The sequence below is a fragment of the Homo sapiens genome, chromosome 17 (assembly GCF_000001405.40).
Source record: "Homo sapiens chromosome 17, GRCh38.p14 Primary Assembly".
In the NCBI taxonomy this organism is placed as follows: Eukaryota; Metazoa; Chordata; class Mammalia; order Primates; family Hominidae; genus Homo; species Homo sapiens.
In genome coordinates, this window is record NC_000017.11 from 7,151,743 (window position 1) to 7,165,689 (window position 13,947).

Consider the following 13,947-nt stretch of genomic DNA (forward strand, 5'->3'; position numbering starts at 1 on the left):
GACAAGCCACAGACTGGGAGAAAATATTTCCAAAACACATATCTGATAAAGAGTTGTATCCAAAATTTACAATAAACTCCAAAAACTGAACATCAAGAAAATAAACTACACAATTTCAAAATGGGCAAAATATCTGAAGAGACACCTCACCAAAGAAGGCACATATATGGCAAATAGCATATGAAAAGATGCTCAGCGTCATATGTCATTAGGGAATTTAAAATTAAAGTAACATTTGGATGGTCAGGCACGGTGGCTCATACCTGGGTGGCCAAAGCTGGGGGATCACTTGTGCCCAGGAGTTCGAGACCAGTCTGGGCAACATAGGGAGACCACCGTCTCTACAAAAAAACGTTCTTTAAATTAGCCAGGCTTGGTGCCACACACCATGGTTCCAGCTACTTGGGAGGCTGAGGTGGAAGGGTTGCTGGAGGACAAGAGGTCAAGGCAGCAGTGAGCAGTGATCGTATCACTGCACTCCAGCCTGGGCAGCAGAGTAAGACTCTGTCTCAAAAATAAAATAAAATAAAATAAAATAAAATAAAATAACAGTTGAACTCTGCTACACATCTATTAAAATGGCTAAAATCCAAAACATTGACAACACCAAATGTTGGCAAGGATGTGGAACAAGAGAAACTCTCATTCATTGCTGGTTGGAACGCAAAATAGTATAACCACTCTGGAAGACAGTTTGGAAGTTTCTAATAAAGCTAAACATAGGCTTACCATACAATCCAGCAATCATGCTCCTAGGTATTTACCCAAAGGAGTTGAATGCTTATATCCCCATGAAAACCCCAACACAAATGTCTACAGCAGCTTTTCATAATTGCCAAACATTGGAAGCAACCAACAGATCCTTCAGTACATGAAATGATAAGCAAACTATGGTACATCCATGCAAAGGAAAATTATCCAGCTAAAAAAGAAATGAGCTATCAAGCCATGAAAAGACATGGAGGAAGCTTAAGTGTATATTGCTAAGTGAAAGAGGTCAGTCAAGCCGGGCGTGGTGGCGCATGCCTGTAATCCCAGCTACTCGGGAGGTTGAGGCAGGAGAATCACTTGAACCCAAGAGGCAAAAGTTGCGGTGAGCCAAGATCACACCATTGCACTCCAGCCTGGGCAACGAGAGCAAAACTCTGTCTCAAAAACAAACAAACAAACAATAAAAAACAAAAAGAAGAAGTCAGTCTGAAAAAGCTATAAATTATATATATCCAACTATATTATACTATATTCTGGAAAGGCAAAACTATTGAGACAGTAAAAAGATCAGTGGTTGCCAGAAGGAGGGGAGAGGGGAGAGGGAAAAAAACTTTATGGTCTTTTAATGAAATCCCTGACTCATGTTTTCTTTCCTTGACTACTTGCTCCATCTCTTCCAGCATTCAACATGGGTCTGCAGACATCCAAGGCTAGCCTGATTTTTATCCCCTAAAAGAAAAAAGGAATTTATCTTTTTTCCTGGCTGCTCATAAATTTCTTTATTTTTAAAACTCAATAACTTTACTAGGCCAGGTCTCAACAAAAACATTCTTGATCAGTTTTCCCTGACATCTAGCTTTCTCTTTCATCATAGATTCAAGCCTCTTTTATTTCAGGAGAACTTTCTTTTCTTTTTAAAGGAGAGACAGAGTCTCACTATGTTACCTGGTCTGGTTTCGAACTCCTGGCCTCAAGTGATCCTCCCTCCTTGGCCTCCCAAAACGCCTGGGTTACAGGCATTAGCCACCATGCCTGGCCAATTTCAAGAAAACTTTCTTGAATTATATCTTTAGCTGTATGTTTTATCTATTGTTTTGGTTTTATTTTTTAGAGATTTCAACTATGCATATATTGCATATTTAATTTCCTTTGCATCTTATATATATGTATATATATACATAATTTTCCCATATTGTTTTTAATCTACCATATTTCCACTTCATTGGTTCACTTTTCTCATTTCTATTCTTTATGTCCTTTACAGTGTCTTCCATAGTAACTGTTCTTATTTATACTCCCTCCAATTTCTTTTTTCTTTTTTTTCTTTTTTTTGAGACGGAATTTCGCTCTTGTTGCCCAGGCTGGAGTGCAATGGTGTGATCTTGACTCACCGGCAGAGGCCTCCCAGGTTCAAGTGATTCTCCTGCCTCACCCTCCCAAGTAGCTGGGATTACAGGCATGCACCACCATGCCCGGCTAATTTTGTATTTTTAGTGAGACGAGGTTTCTCCATGTTGGTCAGGCTGGTCTTGAACTCCCGACCTCAGGTGATCCGCCCTCCTCTCCCTCCCAAAGTGCTGGGATTACAAGTGTGAGCAACCATGCCCAGCCGGGTTTTTCTATTCTATTGCATCGTCAGGTTGCAAATTTTCCAAATTTTTATGCAATGCTTCCTCTTGAATGTTTTGCTGCTTAGAAACTTATTCCACCAGATACCCAAAATCATCTCTCTTAAGTTCAGAGTTCCACATATCTCTAGGGCAGGGAGAAAAAGCTGCCAGTCTCTTTGCTAAAGCACAGTAAGAGTCACTTTTGCTCCAGTTCCCAACAAGTTCCTCACCCCCATCTAAGACCACATCAGCCTGGACTTTATCATCCATATAACTATCAACATTTTGGTCAAAGACATTCAGTAAGTCTCTAGGAAGTTCCAAACTTTCCCACATTTTCCTGTCTTCTTCTGAGCCCTCCAAACTGTTCCAACCTCTGCCCACTACCCAGTTCCAAAGTTGCTTCCACATTATCAGCTATCTTTACAGCAGCATCCCACTCTACCAGTACCAATTTACTGTATTAGTCTGTTCTCACACTGCTAATAAAGACATACCTGAGACTAATTTATAAAGAAGAAGAGGTTTAATGGACTCACAGTTTCACATGGCTGGGGAAGCCTCACAATCACGGCAGAAGGCAAAGAAGGAGCAAAGATACGTCTTATATGGCAGCAGGCAAGAGAGTCTGTGTGTCGGAACTCCCATTTATAAAACCATCAGATCTCCTGAGACTTATTCACCATCAGGAGAACAGCACAGGAAAGACCTGCCCCCATGTTTCAATTACCTCCCACTGGGTTCCTCCTACCACATGTGGGGATTATGGGAGCTACAATTCAAGATGAGATTTGGGTGGGGACACAGCCAAACCATATCATGGAGGTTGCAGTGAGCCGAGATAGTGCCACTGCACTCTAGCCTGGGTGACAGAGCAAGACTCTGTCTCCAAAGGAAAAAAAAAAAAAAATTGTAAGATGACTCACCATGGGGGACAAGTAGATCCTCAAAGTTTGGCCCAAATTGCTGCTTTGGAAAAGAAACAGTAAGTGCATAGATACTTTGTTATGACGTGCTGCATGGAAAAGAACTAAATGCATTTGGCTTTAAGTATGAAATATTTTTGGTATCTTGGTGTCTACTTTCTTTTACAGTTGGTTTTAGATTACAGAAAGAGAGCTATTTATACCTGTTATTATTATCCTGACAAAAATGACAGCATAAGCACTATAATTGAAAAATCTGAATATAGAATGAATTTATGTTAAAAGTGTCTGTTGTGCTAAAGGCATTGTATTTAGTGGGAAGGGCTTTGGGGAACCAACTGGTAGAAATACATCATGGAACGGTTCATTTTAGCAAAGCATTAAGATATTGCCCACAGAATGTTTTCCACCATACAGGTTATGCATTCAGTGGCTGTTTCAAAGGTTTTATTTATGGAAAAGCAAGCGACTTTAGGTGGGGAGGGAAGAAGTTCTTGAGTTCTTAATTCATAGAAAAGGAGCCATAGCTCTTTGTATTGATTCTACCATTTCTTTATTCAGTTAGGATGAAGTATAACCCTTTAGCCAGAATTTTTGGCTAGGCACAGTGGCTCACGCCTGTAATCCCAGCACTTTGGGAGACCGAGGCGGGCAGATCACGAGGTCAGGAGTTTGAGACCAGCCAGCCCAATATGGTGAAACCCCAAATCTAATAAAAATACAAAAATTAGCCAGACGTGGTGGCACGCGCCTGTAGTCCCACCTACTCGGGAGGCTGAGGTGGAAGAATCGCTTGAACCTGGGAGGTGGAGGTTGCAGTGAGCCGAGATGGTGCCACTGCACTCCAGCCTGGGTGACAGAACAATACCCCATCTCAAAAAAAAAAAAAAAAAAACAGAATTTTTGAGAAGTATTATTCCAGGCGTTCAGAACTGAGAAAGTTCACACATAAGAAATACATTCTTTGGCCGGGCGCGGTGGCTCATGCCTGTAATCCCAGAACTCCGGGAGGCTGAGGCGGGCGGATCACAAGGTCAGGAGATCGAGACCATCCTGGCTAACATGGTGAAACCCATCTCTACTAAAAATATAAAAAATTAGCCCAGCGTGGTGATGGGCGCCTGTAGTCCCAGCTACTTGGGAGGCTGAGGCAGGAGAATGGCATGAACCCAGGAGGCGGAGGTTGCAGTGAGCCGAGATCTTGCCACTGCACTCCATCCTGGGCGACAGAGCGAGACTGCCTCAAAAAAAAAGAAAAAAAGAAGTACATTATTATCGTCATCAAAAGTTAAAAAAAAAAAAGTTATGGGATCAATGGATTGGATAGCAATGTCCTACGCCCCACCATTTACTCATCTTTTCTCCTCCTCTGAGTTGAAACTCCTCCTTGGTGAGCTACTGAATTCCTATATGCACTTGCATGTAGGAGATGGCTACTGTTGGCTTTCCCTCCCCCACATCCCACCGCCAACACCGCCTCCACGTTTCTGTGAACTCTCCCCTCCTTCGCATGCGGTCACCGCAGCAGCCATGGCATGACCTTTGGCTGCAATCGATCAGGCCAGTGTTAGTCAGCTGATCCAACAGAGCCAATCAGTGTCTTTCCCACTACTTGGGAGCGGGGGGGAAGACAGAAAGAGAGAGAAAGAGAAAGAGAGAGAAAGAGAAAGAGAGAGAAAGAGAAAGAGAGAGAGAGGAGAGACTATTAGGTAATCGCCCTGGATGGTCAGTTTTCTGTTGAAGGCGCCTACTCCATATCTTTTCCTCTTCATCACTCTGCATTTCTGAATTTCATCCTATACTTTGTGCTCAACTTTTGTGTGCTCTTAAAGTCAGCTTTATCCTAAGCAAATCTGTATCTACTTTAAAAGACTGAAAATAGAAAAAAAAATCTTTGCCAAATTCTTCAGAGACTGCTGTATTTACATATGGTTTAAAATCAAATGCCATAAGAACTTCTTGATTAAACTATTCCCCATTATTACATTCTTTATCTCTTCTACAGCATCATTTTTGAAAATACTTCCTCTTTGAAATACTGCATATATGTTCTTGTGCATTTGTTTCACCTTTCAACACTCAATTCAGGTGTGTTAAAATAAATCTAACACTTTAATTTTAAAAAAGAACTGGGGGAGAATCTGCAAGCTATAAAACTCAGGAGTTTGACATTTTGGGTTGGATGAAAAAATTAAAAACCAAAAAAAAAAAAATTCAGGAGTGTCGTAAAGATTTGAATTGAGGCCGGGCGCGGTGGCTCACACCTGTAATCCCAGCACTTTGGGAGGCCGAGGTGGGCGGATCACGAGGTCAAGAGATGGAGACCATCCTGGCCAACATGGTGAAACCCAGTCTCTGCTAAAAATACAAAAATTAGCCAGGCATGGTGGCGTGTGCCTGTAGTCCCAGCTACTCAGGAAGCTGAGGCAGGAGAATCACTTGAACCCAGGAGGCGGAGGTTGCAGTGAGCCAAGATTGTGCCACTGCACTCCAGCCTGGTGACAGATCGAGACTGCGTCTCAAAAAAAAAAAAAAAAAAAAAGATTTGAACTGAAAAGCAGAGAAGCCAGTCCACTATAAGAGGAAAAAGTGAGACAGAGCCTCTGAACCTCTCAAGGAGGTAGAGCTCAAGCACAGAGAGAACTTCCCAGGTCCCTGACTGAAAAAGCACCCATCCCCATTCTGACACAAGGCCCAGTAGCAACCTGGCCCAGAGACCCCTGAGATATTCTGCTGTCTTTCTGATAAACTCCCTTCTTTTTTTAAACAATTTTATTTCAATAGCTTTTGGGGTACAAGTGGCTTTTGGTTACATTGATGAACTGAATAGTGGTGAAGTCTGAGATTTCAGTGCACCTGTCACCTGGGTAGTGTACGTTGTACTCAATATGTAGTGTTTAATTCCACACCCCTGCTTTTATCCACCACCCCACTCAGCCCTTCTGAGTCTCCAAAGTCCATCATAGCTCTCTGTATGCCTTTGCGTATTCATAGCTCAGCTCCCACTTATGAGTGAGAACATACGGTATTTGGTTTTCCATTGCTGAGTTACTTCACTTAGAATAATGGCCTCCAGCACCATCCAAGTTGCTGCAAAATACATTATGTTGTTCCTTTTTATGGCTGGGTAGTATTCCGTGGTGTATATATACCACATTTCTTTATTTCTTTTTTTTTTTTTTTTTTTTTTGAGATAGAGTCTTGTTCTGTCGCCCAGGCTGGAGTGTAGTGGTGCAACTCGGCTCACTGCAACCTCCGCCTCCCAAGTTCAAGCGATTCTCCTGCTTCAGTCTCCCAAGTAGCTGGGACTATAGGTGCACACTACCAAGCCCAGCAAATTTTTGTATTTTTAGTAGAGAGGAGGTTTCGCCACGTTGGCCAGGCTGGTCTTGAACTCCTGACCTCGAGTGATCCACCCGCCTCAGACTGCCAAAGTGCTGGGATTACAGGCATGAGCCACCACGCCCCTACACCACATTTTCTTTATCTACTTATTGCTTGATGGGCATGTAGGTTGGTTCTATATCTTTGCAATTGTGAATTGGCCCACAATAAACATATGCATGATGCATGTGTCTTTTTCTTTCTTTTCTTTTCTTCTCTTTTTTTTGAGACGGAGTTTCGCTCTTGTTGCTCAGGCTGGAGTGCAATGGCGCAATCTCCGCTCACCGCAACCTCCGCCTCCTGGGTTGAAGCAATTCTCCTGTCTCAGCCTCCCAAGTAGCTGGGATTACAGGCACGTGCCACCACACCCAGCCAATTTTGTATTTTTAGTAGAGACGGGGTTTCTCCATGTTGGTGAGGCTGGTCTTGAACTTCCGACCTCAGGTGATCCACCCACCTCGGCCTCCCAAAGTGCTGGGATTACAGGCATGAGCCACTGCGCCCAGGCCATGTGTCTTTTTCATATAACTTCTTCCCTTCTTTATTAATTAAGCTGGTTCTCACTGAATTTCTGTCACTTACAGCCAAGACACCCTCAACTAATTCCCTGGATCCGTTTCTGGAGTCTATTCCATGTCACTGACTCCTCTCTCCATCCCTATGCCAGTGCCAAGTGTGTTTTAATTATGTAGATCTATTGTGGGGAAAAGAAAGAGAGATCAGATTGTTACTGTGTCTATGTAGAAAAAGGAGGACATTAGAAACTCCATTTTGATCTGTACTAAGAAAAGTTGTTCGGCTTTGAGATGCTGTGAATCTGTAACTCTTGTCTCAACCCTGTGCTCACAAAAACAATCCCTTAAACTCAAAGTTTAAGGGATTTAGGGCTGTGCAGGATGCACTTTGTTAAAAATGTGTTTGCAGGCTGTATGCTTTGTGAAAGTCATTGCCATTCTCCACTCTCTATTAACCAGAGACACAATGCACCGCGGAAGGCTGCAGGGACCCCTGCCCAAGAAAGCCTGAGTATCGTCCAGGTTTCCCCCCACGGAGATAGCCTGAGATATGGCCTCCTGGGAAAGGAAAGACCTTACATCCCCCAGCCCGACACCCGTAAAGGGTCTGTGCTGAGGAGGAGTAGTGAAAGAGGAAGGCCTCTATGAGGTTAAGAGGAAAGCATCTGTCTCCTGCACGTCCCTGGGAATGGAATGACTCGGTGTAAAACCGAGCATACATTCTATTCTGAGATAGGAGAAAACCGCCTTATGGCTGGAGGCGAGACATCATGGTGGCAGTACTGCTCTGTTACTCTTTACTGCTCTGAGATGTTCATGTAAAGTTAAATATAAATGTAGCCTACGTGCACATCCAGGCACAGCACCTTTCCTTAAACTTATTTATGACACAGAGTCTTTTGTTCACGTGTTTTCCTACTGACCCTCTCCCCACCATCACCCTATAGTCACACCGCATTCCCCTCGCCGAGATAGTAAAGATAGTGATCAATAAATACTGAGGGAACTCAGAGACCAGCGCAGGTGCAGGTCTTCACTTGCTGAGTGCCAGTCCCCTGGGCCCACTTTTCTTCCTCTATACTTTGTCTCTGTGTCTTATTTCTTTTCTCAGTCTCTCATCTCCACCTTGGGAGAAATACTCACAGGTGTGGAGGGGTAGGCCCCCTTCAACCTATGATATATTTTAACATCTGATAGGACAAGTCCCCTTATTATTGTTCTTTTAAATTTTTTCTGCTGGCTACTCTCACATGTTTAGTCTTCTAGATGAATTTAGGCTCATTTTGTCCAATTGCAAAAATACATTGCCCAGGAATTTTCATTTGCATAACCTTGAATTTATAGCTCAATCTAGGGAAACTTGACATCATAGCAATATGGAGACGTCATAGTCAAGTTGACTATATGAAGTATTTTTATGGCCTTCATTATAGTTGTTTTTTTGTTTTGTTTTTTTTTTTTGAGATGGAGTCTCGCTCTGTCGCCCAGGCTGGAGTGCAGTGGCGCCATCACTGCAAGCTCCGCCTCCCGGATTCGTGCCATTCTCCTGCCTCAGCCTCCCGAGTAGCTGGGACTACAGGCGCCCGCCACCACGCCTGGCTATTTTTTAAAATATTTTTAGTAGAGATGGGGTTTCACCGTGTTAGCCAGGATGGTCTCGATCTCCTGACCTCGTGATCCGCCCGCCTCGGCCTTCTAAAGTGCTGGGATTACAGGCGTGAGCCACCGCGCCCGGCCCATTAGAGTGTTATGGTTGTTCTCATCCACATCTCACACGTTTCTTCAGTTCATTCTTGGGTGTTTTATGGTTTGGTTGCTATTGTGCATTCCCAGATTCTTACTGGAGATTGGGTGTGGGGTCTTACAGTAGGCACCTCTGGTGTCCCACGTTGCACCCCCTTGACCCGCTGATTTCAGCCACAACAAAAGTAGACAGTTCCATCAGAACTCAACCAGGTCCTTGTGCTGAAAATACCCCTCCTCAAGCATGAGCCACACTCTCTGCCCCAGGGCTTTCTCTAGCACCAATAGAAGCTTGCTCAGCCAATACAGCACAGCTCAGACCTGCTGGGGAGTTCATGCCCACGGGGAATGGAAGCTGGTGGGTAAATCCTCCAGCCACCCCTCCTTCAGATCAACCATTCTGTATGCTTGGAGATGCTGGTGAGCCCCATCACCCAAAATGTGCAGCAGCCTTGACAATGCACCCCGATTGGGCTTGCCTCCTTCCCCGTCTCACTCCCTCCTCTTTTTCACTCCTGCTTTCTGGGATCAGCTCCCAAGAAAACTATCTTCCTCAAGTCCTTCTCTCAGGCTCTGCTTTTGGGAGACACCCAAACTAAGGCAGACCTCCTATGGGATTCTGGCTCATAGTGAGGCAATTGAGTTTTATAGGAGAATCACTTGAACCAGTTGGTTTCCCCATTGCCAAGAAATATCACACTCACTCTACATAGCTGTTGAGCAGAGCTGGGACCAGTCTGGCCTGGAGTAGACACACACCGCCCCCCCCACCCCACACACACACACACACGGGTCCTGCTGTAACCCTGCATTCTTCAGCCTTAGGTGTGGAACCTCTCTCTAATACCTCTAAGAAGCTTGTAACTCCTTCAAAGTACTGCAGTGTCCCCCTATCTGCCTCACCACAAATTCAGACTCCTCCCTTTATCCCCCAAGCACAGTTAACTTGAAGCAATAAAGAAGAAGATTCGGGCCAGGCCCAGTGGTTCGCACCTGTAATTCCAGAACTTTGGGAGGCCAAGGCGGGCGGATCACCTGAGGTCAGGAGTTCAAGACCAGCCTGGCCAACACGGTGAAACCGTGTCTCTACTAAAAATACAAAAAATTAGCCAGGCGTGGTGGCAGGCGCCTGTAATCCCAGCCACTCGGGAGGCTGAGGCAGGAGAATTGCTTGAACCTGGGAGGCGGAGGTTGCAGTGAGCCGAGATTGAGCCACTGCACTCCAGCCTGGGCGACAGAGTGGAACTCCATCTCAAAAAAAAAAAAAAAAAAAATTCTTACACATGACCTCCCAACTATTTCTACAAATTTGCATCATACACTCAAGACTCAATGTTCTGGGAGAGATTGCCAGGTGGGTGATACCCATGGCACATGCCACCCCCCTCCTGCTACACTGGGGGGTGGGGGAGAGATGAAGAATTCGGTTCTGTGGCTACTGGTGCCCCCTGAAGTATGCACATTATAAGGGGCTCTCTAAAATACAAATCATGAATGTTTACTATAATATTCTTTGCCCATTTCTCCAATGGGTTGTTGTTGTTTTTTTCTTGTCATTGTGTAGGGGTTCTTTATAGTCTGGATATTAATTAACTGTTATAAATATTGCAAATATTTCATCTAAGTCTATTGCTTTTTTTTTTTTTTTTTTTTAGACAGGGTCTCACTCTGTTGCCCAGGCTGGAGTGCAGTGGTGCAATCACGGCTCACTGCAGCTTTGACATTTCTTGGCTCAGGTGATCCTCCCACCTCAGCCTCCAGAGTAGCTGGGACTACAAGCACACGCCACCACGCCCAACTAATTTTTGTATTTCTTGCAGAGACAGGGTTGTTGCCCAGGCTGGTCTCGAACTCCTGAGCTCAAGTGATCTCCCTGCCTCAGCCTCCCAAAGTACTAGGATTACAGGCGTGAGCCACTGCACCTGGCCCCTCTTTTTTTTGTTTCTTACCATTTTTTTTCGTTGTTGAAGAAAGCATAAGTTGGCTGTAAAATCTTCCGCCTTCTGGATCTGACGGCATGCATGCCTGTGTGGATGTTCCCCTCCCACTGCATTTCCAATAAGCTGGTAGTTACTGCTAACCAGATTCAGTTCAAGGTTCTCTGACAACAACGTCGCGCAGGCGGTGCTGTGGCGTCCCTACCGCATCACAATAGTAAGTACATAGTGTCCGCAAATGTACAAAAACTGACCTCCTCCTTCCTCATCTTTTTATTCTGATTTTCTTCTCAGGATCGACCTTCAGAACTACTGTGACAATGAGTTCCTTCTCTTGATCCTGTGTTTAGTGGAAATATTTATCATCTCTCTCCATTAAGGGTGATGTCAGGTGTGGGAGTTGAGATGCACCTATGCGTTGCTCCTGCTGGACAGTGGTGAGGTGTGACTTGCTCCCATCCTCAGTTCCAGGCGCGCTCTCGGCCTCCATATGTTCAAGGCCCTTCCTTATTTTCATGTTTCCTCTTCATCCTCATTGCACCCTTGAATTCCCCTCCCTTCCTTAAGAACCCACTTGAGGCCAGGCACAGTGACTCATGCCTGTAATCTCAGCACATTAGGAGGCCAAGGTGGGAGGATCACCTGAGGTCAGGAGTTCGAGACCAGCCTGGACAACATGGCAAAACCCCATCCCTACTAAAAATACAAAATTAGCCGGGCGTGGTGGCAGGCACCTGTAAACCCAGCTACTCAGAAGGCTGAGGCAGGAGAATCACTTGAATCCAGGAGGCAGAGGTTGCAGTGAGCCAAGATCACGCCATTGCACTCCAGCCTGGGCAACAAGAGTAAAACTCTGTCTCAAAAAAAAAAAAAAAAAAAAAAAAAATCCATTTGAATAGGTTTGATGTATGTCCTTGAAAATAGCTGGATCCTGGAAAATTACAAAGTGGAGTTGTGTGCATAGGCTTTTGACATTAATCAATGTTGTCGTGTTCTAAACTGCATTCTGTTTTCTACTTCTCATTTAATGCTGATATTAGGTCTATTCATGTTGTTCTGTGTATATCTAGTCACTGTTTTTTGTTTTTGTTTTTTTTCGAGACGGAGTCTCACTCACTCTGTCACCCAGGCTGGAGTGCTCTGCCTCAGGCTTCCAAATAGCTAGGACTACAGGCTCCTGCCACCATGCCCGGCTGATTTTTTGTATTTTTAGTAGAGACGGGGTTTCCCCATATTGGTGAGGCTGGTCTCGAACTCCCAACCTCAGGTGATCCGCCTGCCTTGGCCTCCCAAAGTGCTGGGATTACAGGCGAGTCCTAAATGCTGGATAGTAGCCCATCAGACATGTTTCCCGCATTCTGCTCTCAGTAGGCACCCAGGCTGCCTCCAGCTCCTTGCTACCCAAACAGCACTGCAGTGAACATCTTCACAGTGCCCCATAATGGACCTGTCAGAGATTCTCTCTGGTGTATGTATCTGGAAGTAGGATTTTCAGGGATCATCTTTTTTTTTTTTTCGAGACGGAGTTTCACTCTTGTCACCCAGACTGGAGTGCAATGGCACAATCTTGGCTCACTGCAATCTCTGCTTCCTGGGTTCAAGCGATTCTCCTGTCTCAGCCTCCCAAGTGGCAAGGATTACAGGTGCCCGCCCCCAAGTCCAGCTAATTTTTGTTGTTACTGTTGTATTTTTAGTAGAGACGGGGTTTCACTGTGTTGACCAGGCTGGTCTAGAACTCTTGACCTGAAGTGATCCACCCACCTCGGCCTCCCAAAGTGCTGGGATTACAGGCATGAGCCACCATGCCCGGCCGATAATATGCATTTTTTTTTTTTTTTAGACAAAGTCTCCCTCTGTTGCCCAGGCTGGAGTGCAATGGCTCGATCTCGGCTCACTGCAACCTCCACCTCCCGAATTCAAGCGATTCTACTGCCTCAGCCTCCTGAGTAGCTGGGATTACAGGCGCACGCCACCATGCCCGGCTTATTTTGGTATTTTTAGTAGAGACAGGATTTCATCATGTTGGTCAGGCTGGTCTCGAACTCCTGACCTCATGATTCACCCGCCTCGGCCTCCCAAAGTGCTGGGATTACAGGCGTGAGCCATCGTGCCCGTCCTGATACTATGTATTCTTAATTCCAGTAAATATCTTGCAGAATGGCTATTCCAATTTATCCTCCCATCAGCAGCTTCTCCCACAACCTTGGCAGCAATTGACTTCCTCTTAATGTTTGTCAATTGGATGGGTGTAAACAGATGGCTCACTCGTGTTTGATTTCTCTAGTTAGTCACTAGTGATTGTAAACATGTCTTCATATGCACATTAGAACCCCAGGCTTCCTCATCTGTGAACTGCTTGTTTATACCTGATGCCACTTTTCCAATAGGTTTCCTGTGTATTTCTTCATCTTGGTCTCCTTCTGTGTTGAATGTCTTCCATTTGTCCTTCCAGATCCACACTCTATCCTTCTCCATGTTGTTCTGTGGCCTGGGAGGCTGAGCTGTATGACTGCATCAAATCGCTCCCTTGCCATCTGGCTTCCAGCCCTCTTCCAGGAAGAGAGGGAAGTGAGGATATTAACTCCCCGGCCCCTCCCTGTAGAGTGGCTGTGGGTTAGCTGCCCCCTGCAACTGAGTATCACAGCTCCTGTTGGGAGGCCCTCTCCCTGCGGTCCTGGAGGTGGTAACAGCTCCCCACTCTGGGATGCCTAGGTTCTTGCTCCATCTTGTGGCTTCCCTAAGCCTGTTCACACCTTTGCAGAGAGTCCCTATATTATGAAATCTTGCACTTACCCATTTTTGGGTGTGCCATCTGTTGCTTGCTGGGAGCCTACCTGATACATTGCTGTTGAACTGAAATTTATCATTTTCATGCAATTTCACAAATTTTTTTTGGCTTTTTGGAATGTGCTTCGGAGGCCTTATTTAACAAGCTCTTCAGCCGGGCGCGATGGCTCACACCTGTAATCCCAGCACTTTGGGAGGCCAAGGTGGGTGGATCATGAGGTCAGGAGATGGAGACCAGCCTGGCCAACAGGGTGAAACCCCGTCTCTACTAAAATTCGAAAAATTAGCTGGGCGTGGTGGCGCATGCCTGTATTCCCAGCTACTCAGGAGGCTA

The 13,947-nt window shown here is 45.2% G+C and overlaps 1 annotated feature.

Annotated features, from left to right (window-relative positions):
* Positions 4,588 to 4,882: an enhancer, noted in NCBI's record as "tiled region #10830; HepG2 Activating DNase matched - State 8:EnhW". NCBI's record gives its function as "activates a minimal TATA promoter and a strong SV40 promoter by Sharpr-MPRA in HepG2 cells {active_cell/tissue: HepG2}" and the evidence as "EXISTENCE:reporter gene assay evidence [ECO:0000049][PMID:27701403]".